We start from the raw sequence: 24,736 nt of genomic DNA, 5'->3' as shown, positions 1-24,736 counted from the left end.
CAACAAAAGCCCAAATAGACAAATGGGATCTAATTATACTAAAGAGCTTCTGAACAGCAAAAGAAACTACCATCAGAGTGAACAGGCAACCTATAGAATGGGAGAAGATTTTTGCAATCTACCCATCTGACAAAGGGCTAATATTCAGAATCTACAAAGAACTTAAACAAATTTACAAGAAAAAAATCAAACAACCCCATCAAAAAGTGGGCAAAGGATGTGAAGGGACACTTCTCAAAAGAGGACATTTATGTAGCCAACAGACACATGAAAAAATGCTCATCATCACTGGTCATCAGAGAAATGCAAATCAAAACCACAATGAGATACCATCTCACACCAGTTAGAATGGCGATCATTAAAAAGTCAGAAAACAACAGGTGCTGGAGAGGATGTGGAGAAATAGGAACACTTTTACACTGTTGGTGGGAGTGTAAACTAGTTCAGCCATTGTGGAAGACAGTGTGGTGATTCCTCAAGGATCTAGAACAGAAATACCATTTGACCCAGTGATCCCAATACTGGGTATATACCCAAAAGATTATAAATCATGCTACTATAAGGACACATGCACACGTATGCTTATTGCAGCACTATTCACAACAGCAAAGACTTGGAACCAACTCAAATATCCATCAATGATAGACTGGATTAAGAAAATGTAGCACATATACAACATGGAATACTATGCAGCCATAAAAAAGGATGAGTTCATGTCCTTTTCAGGGACATGGATGAAGCTGTAAACCATTATTCTGAGCAAACTATCGCAAGGACAGAAAACCAAACACCACATGTTCTGACTCATAGGTGGGAATTGAACAATGAGAACACCTGGACACAGGGCAGGGAACATCACACATGGGGGCCTGTCGTGGGGTGGGGGGATTGGGGAGGGATAGCATTAGGAAAGATATCTAATGTAAATGACGAGTTAATGGGTGCAGCAAACCAACATGGCACATGTATACCTATGTAACAAACCTGCATATTGTGCACATGTACCCTAGAACTTAAAGTATAATAATAATAAAAAAAAAGAAATCACTTTGAGGGAAAGCAGATTATTCTTAGTATTTTATTCTCTTTATAACCCAGTGGCTTAGCCTATTGGGACTGCCATAACAAAATACCATAAAGAAGGTGGCTTATAAACAATAAAAATTTATTTCTCACCATTCTAGAGGGAGGAAAGTCCAAGATCAGGGTACAGACAGATTTGGTGTCTGGTTGTTGTCTGGTGGGGACCCTCTTTCTGGTTCACAGATGACATCTAGCTGTGTTTTCACATGGTGAAAGGAGTGAGGCTTCTCTCTGTGGCTTCTTTTATAAGGTCACTTGTCCCACTGGTAAGGGCAAAGCCCCTCAAAGGCCCTATCTATTAATTCTATCACATTGATGATTAGGTTTCAACATATGACTTTGGAGGGACACAAACATTCGGGCCCTAACAACCAGTTTAACATGGGATCACCTCATTGCCACATAAATTATAGGAATCAAATGGAAGTACATTCTGTTTATGGTCTTCTTGAATACAACAGAAATTCCAGGCTGCAGAGCTGGAAAGGACACTAATCATCAGTGAGTTTGACCTCCCTTAGGTACTTTTGAACATTTTCCCAGCCATCCGATAATCCAGATCATATTTAAACATCTTCATTAATGCAAGCTTATTAGATTCCATGGAAAGCTATGGATGTTGGAAAATTCCTCCTTCCCTGTGCCTCCAAACTGGGACTAGGTGCCCTTCTTTATGTCCTTATGCTACCTGTATGAACCCACCATGACACTGACCACTCATTGCCTTGTAATTGTTCATTAGCATCCTGTGCTTCACCCTCACCCTCTCCATGCTGTAAACTCCCTGAGGACAAGCACTACGTCCTTCTTCAACACTGAATACACAGCATATAACACAGAATACTTACATACTAGGCAATCAGAAACTATTTGTTAAAAATATGAAAGTACCTGCTAAGTCTCTGCTGCTGCTGGTGACTCAGCCTTTTTATCTATAACAAGAGAGGATTGGACTCCACTGTTTCCCACCACAGTAGCACCAGCCTTCCCTAGGAGATGTATGGAAATGTATGGGGGCCTTATTTGTTGCCACAAGGCTTCTTGCTTGGAGGTTACTGGCAAGGACCAAGGATTCAAAATGTTCTACAATGTCTAGAACAGTCTAATACAATGGAGAACTGCTCACCGCCACCAGCCACTCCACCAAATATCAATAGCATTTCCACTGTGAACCACTGTAGACAAATACAGGCTGTGAATCAGGGGACTAGGATTCTAGTCCTAACTGTCACCAACTAGCTGTGTGACCTTGAGCATACTGATTCACCTCTCTGTGCATCAACTTCTTTATCTGTCACATGATGATTTAAAAAATTGCCTGATGTTTTTACCTTCCTGTGTAAAATCAAATAATCATGAAGAAATGCTGCAAAAAGAATGTATGAGTACTAAATGGATATGAGCCCTCACTGGTGTTACATGAGGTGACTAGCAATTGGGCCAGAATTGCTAGAAGTAGGGGGGATTATCCACAGATTACTGCCCAAAAGTGGCATCTCTTAGGTCCCTGGTTGTGTACACAGACCATGCCCTCATGCATGCTGTGACAGGAAGGAGAGACATGAGAGGCGGCAGGAAGACAACCCTGACCAGAGGAAGTACGCATGTGGAAGGGACACACTCTACCTCTGCCTGGAATTGCCTTCTTCTGGACTTGCGCTGCCAACCTCCTGCTGCAAACTTCTTTTAAAGCCTAAAATCAGATCATGCCCCTCTCCCACTTTAAACCCTCCAGTGGCTTCCCATGCACAGGGGACTCTGTTTACCATGGATCATAAGGCAAAGAGACTTTCCTTTTCGCCCTCACCTCAAGCCATTCCCTCCCTCTCTCATTGCTCTCTGGCTACACTGGTTTCTAGCTGGTGTTTTAAACTTTGTTTTGTTTGTGAATAGACCAAAGTAGTTCTTACCATGGGGCTTTTACCATTGCCTCTGCCTAGAAGGCTCTGACACTAGATCTTTTCATGGCTATCTCCATCCCATCATTCAGGTCTTGACTCAATGTTATCTGCTCAGAGAGTCTTACTTAAAATAGCCTCCTCCAGTTCCATGTCCCACATCCTCCATTACTTCTCACTCCTCACTTTCTTCTTAGCATTTGTATTGCTGTCTAAAGCTGTTTATATATTTATTTGCTTTTTTGTTTTCTGTCTCCCCTAAGTAGGATGTAATTTCCACAAGAGGAGAGACTGTCTCGTTCACCACTCTCACCTCAATGCTTAAAACAATGTTTGACATGTAGTTAGCACTTGAAATATATTTGCTGAATAAAGAAATGGAAGGATGGAGGCATGCATGCATGGCTTCTTCCAGATTGAACCCAGGCATCACCTCCTCCAGAAAGCTGTTTGTGACTTCTCCAAGCCCATATGCTCCATGCTCATATGCCAATCACAGAGTTGACCAGCTCACACAAAATTCTCAGTGTGTCCATCTGTCTTCCCACCAGCCCTCGAACCCCTCAAAGCTAAGAATCATATCTCTTTCATGTTTGTATCTTTCACCTCAGGCATTGTCTTGCCCATAGATCATTGAACTAAACTGAACTGAACTAAGCAATGACAATGGGCAATTTACATTTTCTCCTTGGCGATACGGAGTGAGGGGGTGGTCTGCTCACCTCATAGTTAGTAAATCCCACCGCCCCTGAAGTCTTTAGTAGGGAGTATCAAACATGGCCAACTAACACCAAGTCGTTAGGCAGGCAACTGCCTGGAAATTGAGAATAGGATTTCACATATTCCTGGCATCTGTTACAGACTTTCAGGATTTCCCTTTTTACTTTGATGAACAGATATGTTCTTAGAGAAATGCATGTAAATTAAGCTTTTGCCCTTTTAGATGAAAAATTATTTAAAATGCAAATTCAGAATTGACTCTGAAAGATTTAGTCTTTCAGATTAAAAGACTGAAAAATATTTTCAATAGCTATTTTGTGCCAGACACCATACTAGGTATGTCAAAATTTGTTACCCCATAACAGTTTAAAACATAAATATTAAATGTGCCCAGAGGTTATGACTGAGGTTTAAAGTGGCTAAGTAGCTTGTCCAAGGCCTCACAGCTGATATGAAGCAGAATCTGGGTTAGAATCCACAATGAAATGCCAGTTCTGTGTATTTTTACATCACCACTGGAACCCAGCAGGAAGTCACCCCCAATTCACTTACTTTGCTGGTTAGAATTCTTGTGTATTGGGCTTTCTCAAAGAGAGCCCCCCCAGAATTCTTTAACCACACTGTGACTTCTACAAGTCACCTCTTTTAACTGCTAGCAGGGGTTTAGCACCACTAATCAAACCGACCACATCTGACATATGGGTGTTCCTGCTCAAATGACAGATCGTTTGTACTGTAAGTCCCTTAATAATAAAAATGAGGTACTTGGGAAGATCAAAAGCAATTTGGGTCTAAATCATTGTTGGCTTTGTAAGCTAGGAAAAACCAGCAAATAGATGAACATCTGCCTCTCTTAAAAATTGTCCAAAAAATGTCATCACTGGGCAATAACAAAACCTCTACAAAATAGAATATTTTGGCTACAAATCTCCATAACAATGATGACATTGTCTGCAAGTTCTAGCTATATATTATTAGTACATTTTCAGAGAAAAGGTTTTAGTAAGTGCAGATTTTATGGAATTGACTTCCAACCCAAATACTTTATAGAGATGTTTCAGGTTGAGTTTCCTCAATGGATGTGTTTTGGCAAGTGAGAGGTGAAGAGGTAGGTGAGACTCCAGAGATAAGCTCAAGTTTATTTTGGAATTCACATATTTCTGGAATCCTTATATTAATACTGTAATACAAACTTTAAATCTAATATAAATGCCAGTTTCTCTTTAAGTTAACTCTGGACCTTCCTGTTATTCTTCTTTGACAGCTCCTGTTCAGAATTCCTGAAGCATTCAGAGTTGTAAGGCAGTGTGATGTGGTGAGCTGGGTCCCTAGTCCATCACCTAGGCACCCTTCACTGAATAGAAAGGTTTATGTCCAAATCTTGGCTTCACTCCTTATTAGTTGTGTGACCTAGTGCGAGTTGCTTAACCCCTCTGAGCTTCAGTTTTCTTACCTGTAAGATGGAGATAATAGTACCTACTTCAGAATGCTATTGTAAGGATAAATGAGATAATAGGCATGAAAGTACCCGGCATGCTTCTGGGACCTTGAGAGCATCCCCTGCTTTGAAAATTGTTGGATATAAAGTAATGGTACATGGGCAATAAGCTTTGTATATAGCTCTTTTGATGAATTAGGTGCATGGGTTCCTGTTAGACTCATCCAACAAGGCCAGTCCTTGGCGTGTATGTATATGTGTTTGTGGGTCTGCATCTGCACCCTCCCTGGGGAAAAAGAGAGTTCGATTTGTGATCAGTGGAGACCAGTGTGTAATGGTTGAGAGCTGAGTTCTGAAGATAGGCTTCATAGATTTAAGTCCTTGCTTGGCCATGTACCTACTGTGTGGCCTCAGACATATTTCTTACCCTCTCTGTATCTCAGTTTCATCCTCTGTAGAAGTGGAAAGTAACTTAGTGTTGTTGTGAAGATTCATGGAGTTAATATATGTAAAGCACTTAGGATCCACTATTCTCCATTTCTAGGACAAACAGGAAGTGGCAGAGGAGAAAGCTGTGGTGATGAAAGTGACAGGGATGCCAAAGAGACTTGTGCTCCAGGAAGTGCCAGGGCAATGATCCCCATGATGGACACAGGCCATGGAGCACTAGAAGCCAAGGGTCTGGTAGGGAACAATACAAGATCAGGAAAGGGAGCAATGGCATCGGGCAGCACCCAGGGTCCATGGTGCTGGGGACACAGGGACACTCTGCCTCCCATCAATGATGCTGGAGTTGAAAAAGAGATTCGAGTCTTGGGGTTTGGGAACACTGCAAGCTTCCAGGGTTACCCCATATGACGGTGCAGGTCAGACAGTGTAGAGGAATCCTGTAGCGTCTGTTTGACATCTGCAGACATGGTTAGGCCTCTTCCTGTAACATTGTATAAAGGATGCCAGAAGAGACAAGGTGGAGTGTTCAAGTGCATGCATTTCCCTTGGAGCTGGAGGAACAAAGCAACCAGGACCCTTGTGGTGACATAGGGCAAAGGTCTCCAGTACAAAAAGCAGGTGACAAGTAGGAATTAAGACAAAAGATAAGGGTAATTACATAAAGATACCCCTCCAAGCTTCGAAATTCACATATTTCTGGAATCCTTATATTAATACCATAATATAAACTTTAAATCTAATATAAATGCCAGTTTCTCTTTAAGTTAACTCTGGACCTTCCTGTTACTCTTCTTTGACAGCTCCTGTTCAGAATTCCTGCAGCACTCAGAGTCATAAGGCAGTGTGGTGTGGTGAGCTGGGTCCCTAGTCCATCACCTAGGCACACTTCACTGAATAGAAAGGGTCTATAAGCTCAAATCTATGCTTATAGACTAACATAACTTAGACCATTAAGCGTACAAACAGTTCTGGGAACCCAGGCTTACTGTCAAGCTAAATATCATACAGATGATAACAAGGAATGGAAGGCAGTCTACTGCAGCATTTGATTGTATGGGCTCAGGGGCCAGACTTCCTGGGTTTGAAGCCCATCTCTACCACCTCCTACCTGTGGTTTGGGCAAAGTTATTGAATTATTTAATTTTTCTTTGATTCAGTTTCTTCATTGTTACGGGGTGAATTGTGTTTCTTCAAAATTCATATGTGGAAGTCCTAACCCAGTACCTCAGAAGGTGACTGTATTTGGACATAAGGACTTGAAAGAGGTGATTCTGTGAAAATGAGGCTGTGAAGTCCTCGCCAACAATAAATGGTGACAACCTCAAAAACAGAAACAAAACAAGACCATGAGGGTGGGCCTTAATCCAATGTGACTGGTGTCCTTAAAAGGAAGAGGGATTTGGACACAAAACGAGACACTAGGAATATGCAGGCATAGAAGAAAGACCACACAAGGAAGCAGTAAGAGGTGGCCATCTGCAAACCAAAGAGAGAGGACTCAGAAGAAACCGAACTTGTCGATACCTTGATCTTGAACTTTGAGCCTCCAGAAAGATGGGAAAATAAATGTCTGTTGTTCAAGCCACCCAAGCTTTAATATTTTGATATGGCAGCCCTAACAAACTAATAGATTCATCTGTAAATTAAGGATTAAAAAATAGTACCTACCTCATAGAGTTGAGGTAAAGTTTAAATGAGATATTCCACATAAAGCATTTGTTACTTTGCTTGGGACATAATTAATACTCAGTATATGTTAGAATTATAGAAGATGCATCTGAAAGTTCTGCCATATTGTGGGAGGGTTGAAACGTGGTGGGAGAAGTGGTTCTCCAAAATTTGTAGGTGATGGCTTAAGTGACAACTATCATGTATTAAGTACTTATTGAGTGTGGATCCTGTTTAGGTTATATTTGGCTGCAGGCAACAGAAATAAACATAATACTTAAATAAGATAAAAGGTCTTTCTCTCTTTCTAGCCAACAGCTGGAGGCAACCTAGGGAAGTTATGGTACTCTATGATATTAGGGACTTGAGCTCTTTCTATTTGTTAAATTGTCGTTTGTGGATTTCATCCTCAGTTGTCCAAAATGGCTGCAGGAGCTCCCAACATTGTGTCCCAATTCTATCCAGGATGAAGGACAAAAGAATAGAGAAGTGCAAGCCTTTATTTTAAAGAAACTTCCAGGAAATTCCATATACCTATTCCACTTGCATTTCTTTGACCAGAACTTAGCTCCATGGTCACACTTAGGTGCCAGGGAGACTGGGAAACAATCTTTATTCCAGGATAATAAGAATGCAGCTAAGTATCCAAGACTCTATTATAGAGCACAGAAGACAAAGGAGACATTTGGTAACAGTAATTGGTCTCTATACCACGTGCAATATGTGTGCAGAGATCATTGAAACAGGGATCCTTATTGTGTTCTGTTTTGTTTGTTTGTTTTTCTGGTGGGGAAACTGAGCTTTTGTTTCTTCTTCAAGGGATATACAGCTCAGATTGACCTAACCCCCAGTTTCTCATGGATCCTAAAATCTCTCTACTTAACAAGTAAGAGTGACTGATCTTTACACAGTCCAGGAACCTCAAGGTGATGGTGACAAACTCCCCCAAATGTCCACTGCTATCTGATGAAAGACATCAACTTTGGTTGCAATTTCTTAAGCCAGATACGAAGAAGAATGTTTTAAGTCTCACCACAGTGATGCATGGAAATGAATCCTGAAGTAAAGTATAATGTCACCTTGCCATCCCTAGGAGATGCTTAGGGATAAGCAAGAGACAGCAGTCTGGGGTGTATTTGGAGGGCCGTTCCGCCTGAAAGTTAGGCCTCTGTTGAATTTGTGATGAGAAAGAAAGGGGCTTATCTACATGAAAAAACAAAAATAATGATCGTCATATCTTTAAAGGCTTCCAGGGAAAAAGAAGTCTGACAGAAAAGTTGAAGGAATAAATGTTAGACTAGAGTAGAAAAAAAAAAAGCTTTCACCAAAATGTCAGGGGAAAAAGAAGTGCGGGAAGAGAGGCATTAATAAGTGAACAGGGGATAAAGTTGGTGGCAATTCTCAGAGGGGAAGCTGCTGGGCTACTTTTTAAAAAATGTTCATTTCTCTCTCTTTTTATTCAGCTCATTTGTAGGTGTCCATTATAGAATAGCTAATCTTTTACAGGCAAAGGATCTAAATAGAAAACATTAAAGAAGTCTCACTCCGATGAATGAGGCCGAGCCTGCAGCTCAAGGAAACCCTGGAGACTGCATAGGGTGTTGGAAGAAAGAATCTCAGAAGAAAGAAATCTTCCCATGAAGAGAGAACATCAATTTCCAAGCCAGCAAGGGCGAGCTGGGGCCTCAGGAAGGAGGGGTGGGGTGGAGAGTGAACAGATCCACACACTGGTAAGGTAGATGAATAAGAGAGAAACACCTAAAGCTTGCCCGAAAGCAAAGTCCTTGACCAGGTTTTTGTTCTGTGGAGGTCCCTTAAAACAACCCTGACTGGAGTTTTCTTTAACTGGCCCTGAGGGGAGAAAAATGCCAGGACTCACCAATGGATGTTTCTCAAATGCAAAGAATCCTTCCAGTGGTCGTCTATGTGTAGTGACGTGGGCAGCCCTGATATGATCTGAGGGGTGCAGCGCAGTGGTTCCTCCCACACAGATTCTGGCTCTGGCCCCATCCTGGTTTTTGAACACCTATCTACATAACCTGCTATGGAGTAAAGGTATTGTTTGCCCAACACGCCTGTTGAAAGGCAAGTGTCCCTGGTAGGGTAATCCATTAGCATTGGCAGGTCCTTCAGCATAGATGTGTGTCTCAGATTAGAGGACTAGAAAGGCCTGGAAGTTGGGGAGAGTTAGTCTGATATGGAACATTAGAGAGGAATAGAGAAGGAGGGGAAGGAGAGAGGAGGGCAAAAGGGAGAGCATTTTGACCAGCATTTGGCCTTGAGACAGAAGGGGCTGAGTGAGGATGAGAGCAGAAATTTAAATGGGAAGGTGTGGGGGCCCCTAAGGGGTTACTGTTTCTTCCACAAGCTACCAGGGCCAGACTCATTCTTTCCTAAGGGCTCTCATTCTTCCTCAAGCCCACTGGTGAATTCACCTTTGAGTATAGGCCAAAAGAGGAGACAACTCACTTCCTTTTAATTATTGAAACAATAATGTAATAGCACCATCATTAAGCACTGGTTCTTAACTTGGGAGGGAGGTGATCATCGAACTCCTCTGAGAATCTGATGAAAGCTGTGCTCGTACTTCTCAAAAAAATAAACATATGCACAGCCACACAAAATATGGTATGTTTTCACTTGTTTTATGGACACTGTGGGGGCCCATCTCTGGGTCCCATGAGAGGCCATTGTCTCCTAGCTAAAATGCTTTGATTTATTCTTTAATAATCCTAACACAGAGGTTTCATTTTTGTGCATTTATTCTAAGCCCTCTTCCTTATGCATGCATAATTGTTACAGTGCAATCATAATCTACATACAATTTATGTGTTCTACTTTATAAAATCTAACATTATCTGGTAAACATTTTTCTATGTTGTTATATATTCTTCACAATTATAAATTTGAATGAATATATAAAATTGTATTGAATTGTTGCAGTATAATTTTCTTAACTGTTCCTTAATGACTAGGTGTTTAAATGGCTTCTAATTTTGTAGTATAGATAATGCTACACTGAATATCCTTATCCATTTATCTTGCTTCTGTTGAATGTTTCCTTGAGAAAAATTCCTACCCTTTACAAAATCAAAGTGTAAGAATATTTTTATGGGTCTTAAAAGATGATGTGATATTGCTTTCCAAAGAAGTTATAATTTTGGGTACCGCCAATAGTATACAAGTGTCCCAATTTCCCCAAATCTTTACCTATAATGGGTACTATTATTGAATTTTTTTCTAATTTAATAGTTTTCAAAGCATCAAGAAGATAGTCTGATGTTTGGTTGCCAAGGGGTGAAGTGGAGAATGAGAAGAGTGTACTGGGAGGATGGGGAAGTCTGGTCTATAATGGGAATGGATAAAGCTTCTAAGCTTTTCAGTAACAACTGGAACCAAGCAGGCTATATGAGTTAAGGAGCAGCACTCACGGACTTAGTAAACAGTACATTCCCACTTTCTGTCCAATCCCTTTTCAAGCTTCCACTTCTAAATTTTATCAGTCAAAATGGAAACTGGGAGCTAGGGTTTGATCAGGACCAACAGGGTTACTGTGGGTCACTTTGTAAGGCTACTGTGATATGGTAACAGTATGGTTTATCCTCAGGATGTCATTGTCTCTAAAAAATTGCCTTGTGCTCCATAGCAGCACTATCCAATAGAAACATAATGCAAGCCACATATACGTAGTTTTCAGTTTTCCAGTAGCCACACTAAAGAAAAAAAGTAAAAAGAAACAAATGATCCTCCTGACCTCAAAATATATTACAAAGCTACAGTTGTTAAAACATGGTACTAGCATAAAGACAGACATACACACCAATGGAACAGAATAGAAAGCTCAGAAATAAACTCACAGGTATACATTCAACTGAGCTTTGACAAGGGTGTCAAGAATATATAAGAGGGAATGGACAGTATCTTCAACAAATGTTGTTGGGAAAACAGGATATCCACATACAAAATAATGAAATTAAATCTTTATCTTACTGTATGCATAAAAATTAATTCAAAATTGATTAAAGACTCAAACGTAAGACCTGAAACCATAAAACTCCTAGAGAGAGGAAAAGCTTTAGTACACTGGGCTTGCTAATAATTTCTTAGATATGATACCAAAGTACAAACAACAAAAGCAAAATTGTACAATGTGACTACATGAAACTAAAAAGCTTCTGTACAACAAAGGAAACAATTAACAGAATGAAAAGGCAGCCTACAGAAAGGGAGAAAGTATTTTCTATATATATATTGATAAGGGATTAACATCCAAAATAAATAAGTTCCTACGACTTAGTAGCAAAAAACCAAATAATCTGATTTAAAAACAGGCAAACAGGCAAAGGACTTGAATAGAAATTTCTCCAAAGAAGACTTACAAATGGCCAACAGGTGTATGAAAAGATGCTCAACATCACTAATCATCAGGGAAATGTGAATCAAAGCCACAGTGAGATATCACCTCACACCCATTGATATGGTTATTGTCAAAAACAAAACAAGGCTGGGAGTAGTGGCTCACATGTGTAATGCCAGTACTGTGAGAGGCCAAGGCAGGAGGATCACTTGAGGCCAGAAGCTCAAGACCAGCCTGAGCGAAACAGTAAGACCCCGTCTCTTCAAAAAATTAAAAAATTAGCTGGGCATGGTGGTGTGCCCGTAAAATCTCAGCTACTTGGAAGGCTGAGGTGGGAGGATCGCTTGAGTCCAGGAGTTCGAGGCTGCAGTGAACTATGATCACACCACTACACACCAGCCTGGGTGACAGAGCAAGACCTTGTCTCAAAAATAAATAAATAAATCAGACAAAAAAGATTAAAATGTTGGTGAGACTGTGGAGAAATTGGAATTTTTATATACTGTTAGTGGGAATGTAAAACAGTGCAGCCAATATAGAAAACAGTATAAAGTTTCCTCAAAAAATAAAAAATAGAACTACCATATGTTCCAGCAATTCCACTACTGGGTATATCCCAAAAGAATTGAAATTAGAATCTTGCAGGGATATCTGTACTCCCATGTCCATTGCAGCAGTATTAGCAATAGCCAAGACATGGAAGCAACCAAAATGTTCACTGGCAGATGAATGGATAAAAAAATATGGTATATATATACAATGGAATATTATTCAGCCTTTAAAAAGAAGAAAATCCTGTCACTTGAGACAACATGGATGAACCCGGAGGACATTATGCTAAGTGAAATGAGCCAGTCACAGAAGACAAATACTGCATGATTCCACTTCTATGAGGTACCTAAAATAGTCAGACTCACACAAGCAGAAAATAGAAGTGACTACCAGGAGCTGAGCTGGGGGGAGTAGGTTGGGACTTGTTCAGTTGATATAAAGTTTTGGTTATGCAGGAGAAATAACTTCTAGAGATCTGCTGTACAGCATAGCACCCATAGTGAATGGTACTGTATTATGCCCTTAAACATTTGTTATGAGGTTAGATCTCATGTTAAGCACTCTTGCCAAAAACAAACAACACAAAACAAAGAAAAAGGAAAAAAACAGTGGAGGGAGGACACAGGGAAACTTTTAAAGGTGATGGAGATGTCTATTACCTTGATTGTGGTGATAGTTTTATAGGTGTATGCATATGTCCAAACTCTTCAAATTATATGCATTAAACGTACATAGTTTTAATATATCAATTATATCTCAATAAAACTATTAAAAAACAAATCAAATTAACTTCAGTACTATATATTATTTAACCTGTCATATATTTAAAAATATCATTTCAGCATGTAATCAACATAAAAATTATTAAGTATTTTCACAGTCCTTTTTTCATACTAAACCTTTGGAAACTGTTGCATATTTTATACTAACAACACATCCCAGTTCGAGACACCTATATTTCTAGTACTCAGTTGCCACATGTGGTCATGGCCACTGTAGTAGACAGTGCAGCTCTGTGGCCTCAGCCCACAGAGATGAGCCTAGGATGCTTTGCATTGCAGAACTGTCTTTCTCTTAACGCTTGAGCTATTGGGAAATCAGAGCCATGTTATTTATCATGAAAGAGCATTTGATTAAAAGTATAAAATATCCTAGGTCAGATGGCTCACTGTAGTTGCAGGGGAGACAGTGAATTGCTGACCATGCACTGTGATACATCAAAATATAGGGACATTCAGGCACCTCCTCAGCCTACTGAATCAGGATCTTTGGGGTGAGTCTAGAAAACAGATTTTTAAGTACAGGTTTTAATATGATAATAAGTGGTGCCTGTTATTAATGGGAGGACATTGAATCCCAGAGAGAATGAATGACTCACTCATGTTCTTCTCATAGTTAGGGGTCAGCTAGACCTAGAACCTCACTTGGACCCACTAGACACCTTTCCACGCCCTCACCACAATCACTGCCAACTGCTATTCCAGCACAATTCTTGCCAAGAAAATACCTGCTGTCATGTGACAGGTATCAGCACACTTTAGGAGCAGTCAAGACAACTTCCTAAGAAGGTAAACTATATTTTCCCAACTTACCAAATTAGAGTAAGAAGAATAGATTTCTTCCTTTAATCTGGCTTTGTCTCAGACTGGAAGTGCTCTCTTGTCCAGTTAGAAACTAATCGTGATAAAATTAGTAGGCCAGAAGGACACTCATGGCCCATCTTTAACAGGATTTATAGCCCTGGTTCCTTTTCTTGTTGCCTCTGTGGAAATGTGCAAGCATACACATAGTTAGGAAGGTTTGAAGGAAATGCCTTAGAGAAGTCTCAGTGACCAAGAAAAGCTAGTCAAATTGCCAGCTTCGGCCACAGCCATGTGTTAAAATGCTCTGCAGACCCAAGTGTGATCATGAAACAAGTACAGCAAGAACAGCAGGTCTGTAAACATCCTGATGACAATGGGGAACAAACAGCTGGGCCGAGACCAGATCGGTTCAGGCAAATGTGCTCGTGCTTTTGATCCAAGTGCAAGATGAGCGGATGCAGGGGAGGCGGCAGCTGCGGCACAGCTGGACTCAGGAGGCATGTGATAGCGTGACTTGCAAATCATGCTGGAAAAATTCATTCTACTAAGCTTGGACGTGAACACAGTCACGTGGGGCCCATCAGCTCACACACTGCAGCCAAGAGCGAGACAGAAATGCAACCGGGCTAATAAGAGGCGTCAGGCCCACTTCTAGTTGGACACGGCTGTCTTTCAGGGAAGGAATGGGACAGGAAATGCACTATATTTGGAAATGACTCTAAATTTAGAATGAAAGACTGACTTGAGAATACTGAAAACTTGATTGAGAGATACTTAAATGTATTTTATAAGCATGGAAGGCATTTACTGGGGTCTCTACCATAGTGTTTTTTGCTTGTTTGTTTGTTCGTTGAAGACAAGGTCTCACTGTGTCACCCAGACTGGAGTGCAGTGGCACAATCACAGCTCACTGCAGCCTCAACCTCCTGGGCTCAAGTGTTCCTCATGCGTCAGCCTCCAGAGTAGCTGAGGCTACTTGACCACAGGCAAGCACCACATGCCTGGCTAATTAAAAAAATTTTTTTTTGTAGAGATGGTATCTCCCTGTGTTGCCCTGGCTGGTCTCAAACTCTTGGGCTAAAGTGATCCTTCCACTTCAGCCTCCTAAAGTGCTGGGATTGCAGTTGGGAGCCACAGCTCCTGGCTTCATAGTGTTTAATATGAAAGGCTATTCTGATCTTTCCTACTGGTCTAGCACTTTGGGGTTTGCAAAGAGCCTTACATTCACTTTCACTTCACCAATGAGTAAATAAGCCTCAGAAAAACTGAGTAAATACTAGAGCTCCAGTGGCGCAATCGGTTAGCGCGCGGTACTTATACAGAAAAACTGAGTAAATACTGAATGTATGTGTGTGTAGACATACAATATTACATGATGTGCTATTAATATAGCATGTGTATATATACTGTTTTACACATATTTATATATATTATCATACTATATATGCATATATGCATACTATTATAATCATTCATTTAACAAATATTTATTGAGCAATTACTTAGGTACCGGGCACAGTGCAGTATATCAACAAGGGTAAGGGATGCAGACATTGCAACTCTCATGGAACTCAGAGCCTAGTTAGGAAGAAAACCATTGCATAAACAATCACAACATAAATATGATTAGAGTCTGGAGTAAGTGCTACAAAAGAAAAGTCTAAGAGGTCACAAGAGTATAAGAAGAGGGTCTGCCTTGCCTGGAGCATCAGATGCTCCCCTGAGGAAGGAGCCTGTGAGCTGAGCGGTCCGGATGAGCAGGTGTTTTCTACAGTCTGTGCATTGTGTCTGCTGAGAATCTGGAAATTAAAAATGCTGCTGTTGGGGGTTTCACCATGTACGGACGAGGCAGGAGTTCCTCCAAAAAATACAAATTCCATGAGGTTAAATCAGACCTCTCAGCCCCAATCAAAAGGTAAGGACTTCGTGGAAGCTAAGGTCAAAGTCCAATCGATTTAATAGACCCTGAGAATGTAACATCCTATGGAAGCTGAAATCTAAGTGCAGGTTAGTTCTCCCAATTGCTTTCTGCCCTTTAAGGTTAGAGAAAGATGACAGCAAGAAGCATAAAACTCAGTTGTGGCTCTCAGAGCAGTCCTTGTTTTGAGGTTTTCTTTTTTCTGTCTTCTCCTTTCCCCCCTGTCTCCTCTCTGTCTTTGTCCTCCTTCCTCTACCTTCTTTATTTTTCACTGTTATAGATTAGTACCATCTATTCTATTAATATTGACTATAAATGCATGTTTTCTTCATGTTAAATGCCTATCAATTGTCTTCTACCTTCCAAAAGTTAAAAATGTATATATGATATGGCAAAACTTGTGCTAGATCACAAAAGCAAGCTTTCATTTTGATTTACACAGGTATGTGTGTACACACAAACACACTAAATACAAAGGGTTGCTGCTATAGGCTAGCATAAATAGCTTCCTGATTCTTAACACATCAGGTAATATAAATTCTGGTAAGCTCAGACTGCCTCTATATGTTCATATCAATTAGCCTTAAGGGTCTTTTTCTGAAGCACACGGTAAAATCAACACAGCATTAGGAGCTATTTTCTCAAAAACAAAGAGTTTGAATTCTTGCTGTAGTAGTTCTGAAGTAAAAGAGAGGCTCCTTGCCCCTCGTTGTTCAAAGTCATCCATTTCCAACAGGCGAGGGCATCAACAATTTGGCAGAGGCAGGTAAAAAAGAGCCAGGGGAACCCAAGTGAAATTTCAACACAGCGGTTGCCTTGGAACCCATTTGGAGGTTAACTTGCTCTTGTTTCTCCAGCATTTCCTTGCTGAAGGAAATTTGTACTCCAATTCCAGCCGCGTTCCAACTCCAATAAAACAGTGATAAGATGCCCTGGAGGGTTGCAGCCAAGCCTGTGGGTGCAAACAGGGTCAAATCACATCATGGGAATGAGATGGGATTCTACATAGTTTGAGTGTTGACTGTTTTCCTCTTGCCAACAGTGGGACGTTTGTTCTCATTGTTAAATAATTAAATAGGCAGTTTGTATTTATTTAACATACAGACTGTAGCCAATTCCTGCTGACAGCTACCAAAATAACCCCATATTTCCTAGCTCTGAATGGCTCAGAAGACTGTTTCCTGACTGCGGGAGCATCACCGCAGAGCAAAACTCTCCTCCAAGTCTCCGAACACCTTTTTCATCACTTTAAACAATAAATCAATTCACAGCATGTGATCCAAAAACAACAGCCCAGTTTTATTGGATGAGGTTCATTCCCATTCTCTCAGGCACTCCTTCACTACCAGCACTGAGCTGTCTTGAAGCTGTACTTGGCTGTGGATGGAAAAAAAAAATCTACTAGTTTTCCTCATTTACACTTGCCCATTAAAAAAAGTGAATTGTGACCTAATAACTTAAAAAAGAAAAAAAAAAAGAAGAATTATAACTTGGAGGAGAAAGTAGAAAGTTTGGGAGAAGCAGGCCAATCAGGAAGTCAGGGGAAACAAGTATTTAAATGTGGAGGTGGGTAGTCCTTGGAGCTTGGGAATGATTCAAGATAAGGTAGAGACTCTCACTGGTCTCCTAAGGTGGTCAACATGGCAGAGGGAAGAAACTGAGCAGTCAAAGATAGCATCCTCTGTGGAGGGTGGTGCTAAGAGAGATTCTAGAACCATTTACACATGATCAATGCTTTGATCCTGTCATGTGTATCAGAAGAGATGTAGACCAGGCCGGGCATGGTGGCTCACGCCTGTAATCCCAGCACTTTGGGAGGCCAAGGTGGGCAGATCACTTGAGGCCAGGAGTTCGAGACCAGCCTGGCCAACGTGGTGAAACACTGTCTCTACTAAAAATACAACAACAATTAGCTGGGCGTGGTGGCACGTACCTGTAATCCCAGCTACTCGGGAGGCAGAGGTTGCAGTGACTGAGATTGCACTACTGCACTCCACTCTGGGTGACAGAGAGAGACTCTGTCTCAAAAAAAAAAAAAAAAAAAAAAAAAAAAAAAAAAAAAAAAGGAGATATAGACCAGACTCCTCTTGAAATTTCCTGGTATTTGTAGTGTCTGAGGCATTCAGACAGTAGGTGCTAAAGACTTATCCCTAGGAGTCCGGAGTCCCACTTAAGTGGAAGAAGGAAGCGATTTTCCCTGTCCTAAGTGGCTAGCTACCAGCCAGCAGCCAGGCGATGTGTGGGTACTGACATACCACAGCATCTTCCTCTCGATGCTCCCACTAATGTGGCCACCAAAGGTCCACCCTAGAGGAAACAGCAATGAAAGGAAACAGGACAAAAGACCCCGTGGCAAGAAAAAAGATGGCCTAATTTTTTCTTTCTCACCATTCCTCTTGTCCTCTTAACCCATCTCTTTACTGTGCAATTTGCACTTTGAGTGGCTCTACAGATGGTGGATACAGTGAAGACCTCTGTTATCAATATTAAAACTGAGCATCAGTGAGTCAACAAGGCTCCACTTTGTCCTGTTCAACTTTAGCAGCACCACAGAGATCAGAACTAAGTAAAGCCATTTACACAATTAAGGAGGAGGCTGCCTTTTAGAGTGGCACAAGCATTTCCTCTGGAGTAGTGTGTCTGAACCAGGAAGTCCCTCTCTGCCTTGTCTGTGGATTTTAGACAGTCTGAATTCAGTTTCTTCTTCTGTGAAATAGATCAGCCCCACTTGTACTGTCATAGTATTGCTCTGAGTATGGAAAAGGACAATGGAAAATGAGGTGCTCTGTATTCTGTTATTTGTCATTAGTTGTGTTCTACTAACCAAACTTTAGGCATGGTGGAGTTCATTTCTGCCTCTTCTGGAGATAGGAAACTATAGAACTAACTTCAGATGTAGATTTTTTTAAAGTTGTCACTCTGTCCCTTTTCTTGTTTGTAAAAGGAGGAAGTGCTTCTGTGTGCCCTCCAAGGCTTCTTCCAACCTTCCAAAAAAAGAAAAAAAAGGCAGACAGTCCATTCAAGGATGGCAATCATGAAATCTTGACCTACTTTGGAATGAGAGGCAACATCTAAGAAAACCTCAGCTTAATCTCTATTAGCTCACCACAGAAGCATATATTCTGGGCTAAGATCTCTCAGAAGCTGGGCCATGGCCATGGCATGTGCTTAAAGCATAATAAAATGGATGTGGAAAAAAGAGGAGTGTATCCCACCTGCTCATTATCTGGGGCCATATTCCTAGCAGGGTAGTTCAACTATTCACAGCCAAGAAACATTTTTGATCAGAGTCCAAATCTCCATCCAGAAACAGGTTCCTGGCATACCACTCATGCCCCTGTAATCAATTCCCTGGACTGTGAATCAAGTGACTACTGCCAGAGCAATGGAGTTGGATTGTTGACTTTTTGACAGGTCTCTCGCCTCTTTCTGCATCTTATGTCTTCCCCGCTCTCCTTCTTGCCCCACCTACTGAAGCCCTCTACCTTCATCCCTTTTCTCCCTTACCAATCTCTCCTCCCTCCATTTTTTCCTTTCTCTGCACCTCAGCTGATGGCAGATACTATTTTTCATACTTCTAAGCTTGCATCAGTATCAACACAGCCAGATTCACTCACATTTCCCTCCCCCTCCTCCCTCCCTGTCCCACTCCAATTCTTTCCAAGGAGAACTTGGGGATTGTGTCCAAACTGGGACTGAATACAACCAACGAGGAACCCGATGATCCAAGTCCCACCCCCACAGCACACTATAATCCAGCACTGTATAGAGCAGTTCACAGAACCAAATATAAAGCCCTTATTAAGAATAAACATGTTGGCTGGGTGTAGTGGCTCATGCCTATAATCCCAACACTTTGGGAGGCTGAGTTGAGTGGATAACTTGAGTCCAGGAGTTCAAGACCTGCCTGGGCAACATGGTGAAGCCCTGTCTTTACGAAAAATCCAAAAAAAAAAAAAGATTAGCTGGGCATGGGGCATGCGCCTGTAGGCCTAGCTACTTGGGAGGCTGAGGTGGGAGGATAGCTTGAATCCAGGAGGTTGAGCTGCAGTTAGCCATGATTGCATCACTGCATTCCAGCCTGGGCAACAGAGCAAGATCCAGTCTAAAACAAAAAAACAAAAAAAGAAGAATGAACATTATTCCATATGGAGACTTAGCCTCTGTCAGTTAGACCCCTTGACATCCATAACACAGAACTGGAAACTGGACAATGGGCAAAGAAAGAAAAATCACAGGTTCAGGTTACAGAAAAGAAGGCAGGGAGAAAGGGCAAGTTAATCTAAATACTGGGTAAGAGACAAAAAGCTAAATGAGATGGAGGAGCATTCCGTGGTGGGAGTGGGAGGTGTTAGTAAACAGGGGCTGTGGAGCAACATGGGTCCAGGAGAGTTGGGGAGACAGAAAAGGACATATGAAAAGTGTTGCCAGCTGGTAAGTTACATCCTCATAACTTCTTCTTAAGACATAGAAATTAGAGGCTAAATTCCTTTTTCATTACTTTTGACTGATCTGTAAGTTTGTGAATATAAATCTCTGGAAACTGAGGCACATGGTCAAGGAGGCACACAGGCTACACGCTGGAGTTTAGGTAACTCTCAGATCTTCTGAGCCATCTTCAGATTAATCTCAGATCAAAGAGGTTTAGAAAGGGAGATGATCTTCAGGAATCTCCCTTACAATACACTCTCATCAGATGCATTTTTCAAAGGACATTTGCTTTAGCAGAATTGGAGAGAGATAAATCGCAGCCCTGTGCATTCGATACTTGATACATCCTTCCTCCACTGAGAAGCTAATGCTCTAGTTCTGGGTTTACCTGAAGCCATTAGGAGAGCTAAAACTCCATGTAGTGTGCTCTGCTAAAAGTAAGTGGATTTCGGAGCTAGAAGAAGAATTCTCTCTCTCTGTAGTTCAAATGGCATTCAGAAATCCAATTAACGTTGGTTTTTCTAAAGCAGAATCTGTAATTGTGTCCAATACTGCCAACTGTTCAGTTCGATAATAAAACAGGCTATTCTTAAGATGGCCTGTAGTCATTAGGGAAAGTCTAGCTCTGTAGGATACAATTTCTCTTTGGAATAATATATGTGATGTTTTTATAATTTCTTTCATCCAAGCATTTCAAAGCATTTTAAAATAATTTGGAGACACAGGATATATATTTTTCATAAATTAAGCTACATATGTCAATACTTTGCCTAGGGACAGAAATTAATTATTCCACAGAAGTGATGCTGGTATCTAATCTTATTACATTTATACTGTAAAAGTATCATTATTAATAATTATGACAGCTATTATTTATTGAAAGCAGAATGCTTATCCTGTTAGGCATTGTGTTAAGTGCTTTGCGTGTATTATCTCATTTAATCTTCCCATGAATCCAATTCTAAATCTAATCCCATTTCAGTATGATTCTATGAGTAAAGTACTACTTCTATCCTTTTTTCACAAATGGTGTCAATTAGGTTCAAAAAAGTTTAAGTAGCATGCCCATTGTCACATCGCTAGTAAGAATGGTGGAGCATCTCTTATTGGGGAGGACCAGTTATTAAGAGTTCCGATGGTCAATTTCCTTTTCAAATGTCACTTGTGTGGCATATTGTGCAGCCTGTTTGATCATGAAGAGATGGCCTTCTTAATTCTAGAACCGTGTGGCTAAAATCTTTGCTAATTCTTGAATGTACCAAGGGCTCTACTGTCTCTCAACACCTTGTAAGTAAAGAAAACTTAAGGGTGATTTTTAAAGTATGGCAAAGAACAACCTTTCTCAACTGTCAGACAGTTCTCTAGATCACAACTATAGCACATACCATACCAAAAATTACAAAATTTGGAAACATAAAGTTGTCATCTTCCTCCTGGGTTATTGCAGTGTCCTAATTGTTCTCCTTGCTTCTCATTTTGCCCCCTTGGAATAAAACCCATGGCTAAATGTTTTAGCCTAGCTTACCAGTAATCTGATCTCATCTTATGCCACGCTCTTCCTAACCCACTCTATTCCAGCCACACTCACTCAGCCTTTTCCAGCTCTTCAAACACACCAAGTTCTTCTTGCCTTTATACATACTATCATCTCCTGTTGAAACTTCATACTCCTGCTCTTCTCCCATATTCCTTCCTCCTATTTCTTGGCTCTTAAATGTTATAAATGGTGTTCAGTCACATACACACACACATTCACAAACACACACCCCACGTCTAAATTACACCCTGTTTTTCCTTCATAGCTCTTATCCATATTTACAGTTTTCTGTTGTTTTGAGTACTTTGTCTAATGAGTGTCTCTTCAATTGGACTATAAGATCCATGAGGGAAAATTTCATATCTCTTCATTTACCATTGTATTCCCAGTGCCTGATACACTGCCTGACTATATTAGAAGCCAGTGAACTATTTCATAAGTTGAGTGACTCTAAGTTTGATTCCTTATCAACCACCTAATTGCTGTGTGACCTTTGGAAATGCATATTCAACTTCTTCTCTGAGTGTCAGTCTTTTCATCTGTTAAATGGGGCTCACAATACCTATATTACAGGATCTACATGGAGAAGATGTATGCTAATATATATAAAATGCTTCAAAAATTGTTAAACCTTGTAGAATCTCGAACTTTAAATTCAGTATCGCCCCATTGAAGCTAAGGGTGTTTCCGCCAGTTTAGTAGGCTAAACTTGCAGAAGGAGCAGACTTTGGACAGCATGTGGGCAATTTTCACAAGGCGTTTAACTGGGCTTCAAGCCCAGGGCACTCAGAGGCTCAGCAAGGAGTGAAATAGGGCCAGCTCGCCCCCCGAGGGGTCCATCGGTCCCTTGACTAAGCTGGTATGCTTATGTTGTGTATTTGTGCATCATAAACACAGCCATCTATCTGGTTTTTTGTCCTCTTTTCTGACTGACTTCTCACTCAAAGCACAAAGAAAAAGAAAGGAAATGCAAAGTCATGTGCATCAACAGAGCCTATATCTTTGAGTATCTTAGTGACTTGGGATTATTTTAAGGGAAAAAATATGGGAAAGTTCTGCAGGGACCTAACACACATGGCTGGCTATCATCTATACTCCAAGTAGACATCGCTTTCTTAACTGTTGTAGTTGTTTGGAAGGAAGGGTGTGTCTGATGCAGCCTAGAACTTTTCCCAGGGATTTTGGGGAAAGCTCTCTTCCTTCTTATTGATCTGGATTTGAAAAAGCAATAATATCTAAAACTACGTTAGGGGAAAGGTCAGAAAAGAGAAGTCACCTGATAGAGAAAGGGTCAAGGTAGACAGAGGTCACCAGTGGAGACTAAGGTCTAAGACATATGGTTTCCTTTGACTTTCTTCTCCTCACCAGTGGGTAAAGTGGTGAACTGGATATCAGCATTCTTGGAAACTCCTGGAAGTTTTCTAATTCTCTACAGAACCATGAAGTGAACAGGGCACTTCAAAGAATACTTGATCCATAGCCCTTGCTTTTTCATAGGTTAGTCTCTGAAACAAATGAGAAAGTAATTCACATTATAAGTGGTATTCCAAAAACAACAGCCATTTGGGATTCTTATCTGGTATTGAGGGGTAGACAGGATTTTTCCAAGCTTGAATAAAAGTCCCAGGATCTGCTAGACACGGGGAATTTACCCTCTCTTCTTCACCCATGTGAAATCTCACTCCACGACCATTCCCTGACCTAGGCCCCATCATCTCCTGCTTGGGCCACTTCAAGAGACTCCTAAGCAACTTTTCGCTTCTGGTCTGGTGCCTGCTCCACTTCACCCCCAATCCATTCACACTTTACCCAGAGTGATCTTTCTGAAACAAATCTAATCATACAAACCCTGCTTGAATGTCTTCCATCATTCTCCACGGTTGTGGAGGTAAAGTCCACACTGTAACATGGCCTATGAGGCCTTCCTACCTCACCAGCATCATCTCGTATAATTCTTCCCATATCTCACCATCCACCTCGGCCCACCTCTTATTATTCAGGCATGCTGTTCTTAAGGCAGGTCCTGAACAGGCTGTGCTCTCTTGGGACTCTAGGTCTTTACATATCTGTGAATTATAAAGTTCACCTTCTCACTACTATTATTCAAAACATTTTCTTGGAGCTCTTTCATTGCGCTTAACATTGTACTTGGCAGTAGAACAGACAGACAGGTAAACAAGTAGTTACAGTTCAGATATTACAGAGGACAAAATGTATAAATGTGATAGAAGCCAGAGAAAGGGGCAACTAATTTGGTCAGGGCGGAGCAAAGGAAAGCTTCACAAGAAGAGAAGACCAATCACATTAGCTCATGTTTAGTGAACATTTACTTAGCTCTGAGCTAAAGTGTTTTACAAATGTTATCTTATCAAATTATCAAAATAACTCTAGGAAATGGATACTGTCAGGAGAGAGGAGAGCATAACAGTTAAGCACATGAGTTAGGCCTCAGCTTAAACCCTGTCTCTACCACTTAGAAGATTTCTAGCCTTGAGCAAGTTGTTTAACTCCCAAGGCATTTTTGTCAACTTCAAAATGGAGATAGATAATAGTTTTTTTAAAAAAATTAGTTCTGGCTGGGCGCGGTGGCTCACGCCTGTAATCCCAGCACTTTGGGAGGCCGAGGCGGGCGGATCACAAGGTCAGGAGATCGAGACCATCTTGGCTAACACGGTGAAACCCCGTCTCTACTAAAAATACAAAAAATTAGCCGGGCGCAGTGGCGGGCGCCTGTAGTCCCAGCTACTCGGGAGGCTGAGGCAGGAGAATGGCGTGAACCTGGGAGGCGGAGCTTGCAGTGAGCCGAGATTGTGCCACTGCAATCCGGCCTAGGCTAAAGAGCGGGACTCCGTCTCAAAAAAAAAAAAAAAAAAAAAAAAAAAAAAAATTAGTTCTTATTTTTTTAAAAGAGAGAGATGTATGAAAATACATAGCATGGTACCTGGCACCTAGCTAGTGTCCACTAAAAGGTGGCAACTACTACTATTCTCCTTGGTTTACAGAAAGGGTTAAGCAACCTTCCTAAGGTCACACAGCTAGTAAATTCCAGAGCCTGAATTCAAACCCAGAATGATCAGGCTCCAGAGCCCAGCCTCTCAAGC

The 24,736-nt window shown here is 41.0% G+C and overlaps 1 long non-coding RNA gene across 5 annotated transcripts in view, besides 1 other annotated feature; it reads right to left on the bottom strand.

Annotated features, from left to right (window-relative positions):
• Window positions 1-24,736, bottom strand: part of LOC105377657 (uncharacterized) — a 62,560-nt gene that overhangs the window by 20,085 nt on the left and 17,739 nt on the right. For 3 of the 5 annotated variants that reach the window (XR_941056.3, XR_941054.3, XR_941053.3), the window contains exons 2-3: window positions 22,912-23,140; window positions 18,498-18,651 (exon numbers count right to left, since the gene is read on the bottom strand). This is a non-coding gene — a long non-coding RNA (uncharacterized LOC105377657). Of the gene's footprint in view, window positions 1-18,497; window positions 18,652-22,911; window positions 23,141-24,736 lie in introns of those variants that run through there. The other 2 variants (XR_941055.3, XR_941057.3) reach the window with 2 other exon arrangements.
• Window positions 20,066-20,567: an enhancer, noted in NCBI's record as "NANOG hESC enhancer chr4:55644199-55644700 (GRCh37/hg19 assembly coordinates)". NCBI's record gives its function as "activates a minimal SCP1, AML or CMV promoter by ChIP-STARR-seq in naive H9 embryonic stem cells {active_cell/tissue: H9 hESC(naive)}" and the evidence as "EXISTENCE:reporter gene assay evidence [ECO:0000049][PMID:30033119]".

This window comes from Homo sapiens, chromosome 4, assembly GCF_000001405.40.
Source record: "Homo sapiens chromosome 4, GRCh38.p14 Primary Assembly".
Lineage (NCBI taxonomy): Eukaryota > Metazoa > Chordata > Mammalia > Primates > Hominidae > Homo > Homo sapiens.
Note: the sequence above shows the minus strand (reverse complement) of the source record. Positions and strands in the feature narration are given on the sequence as shown.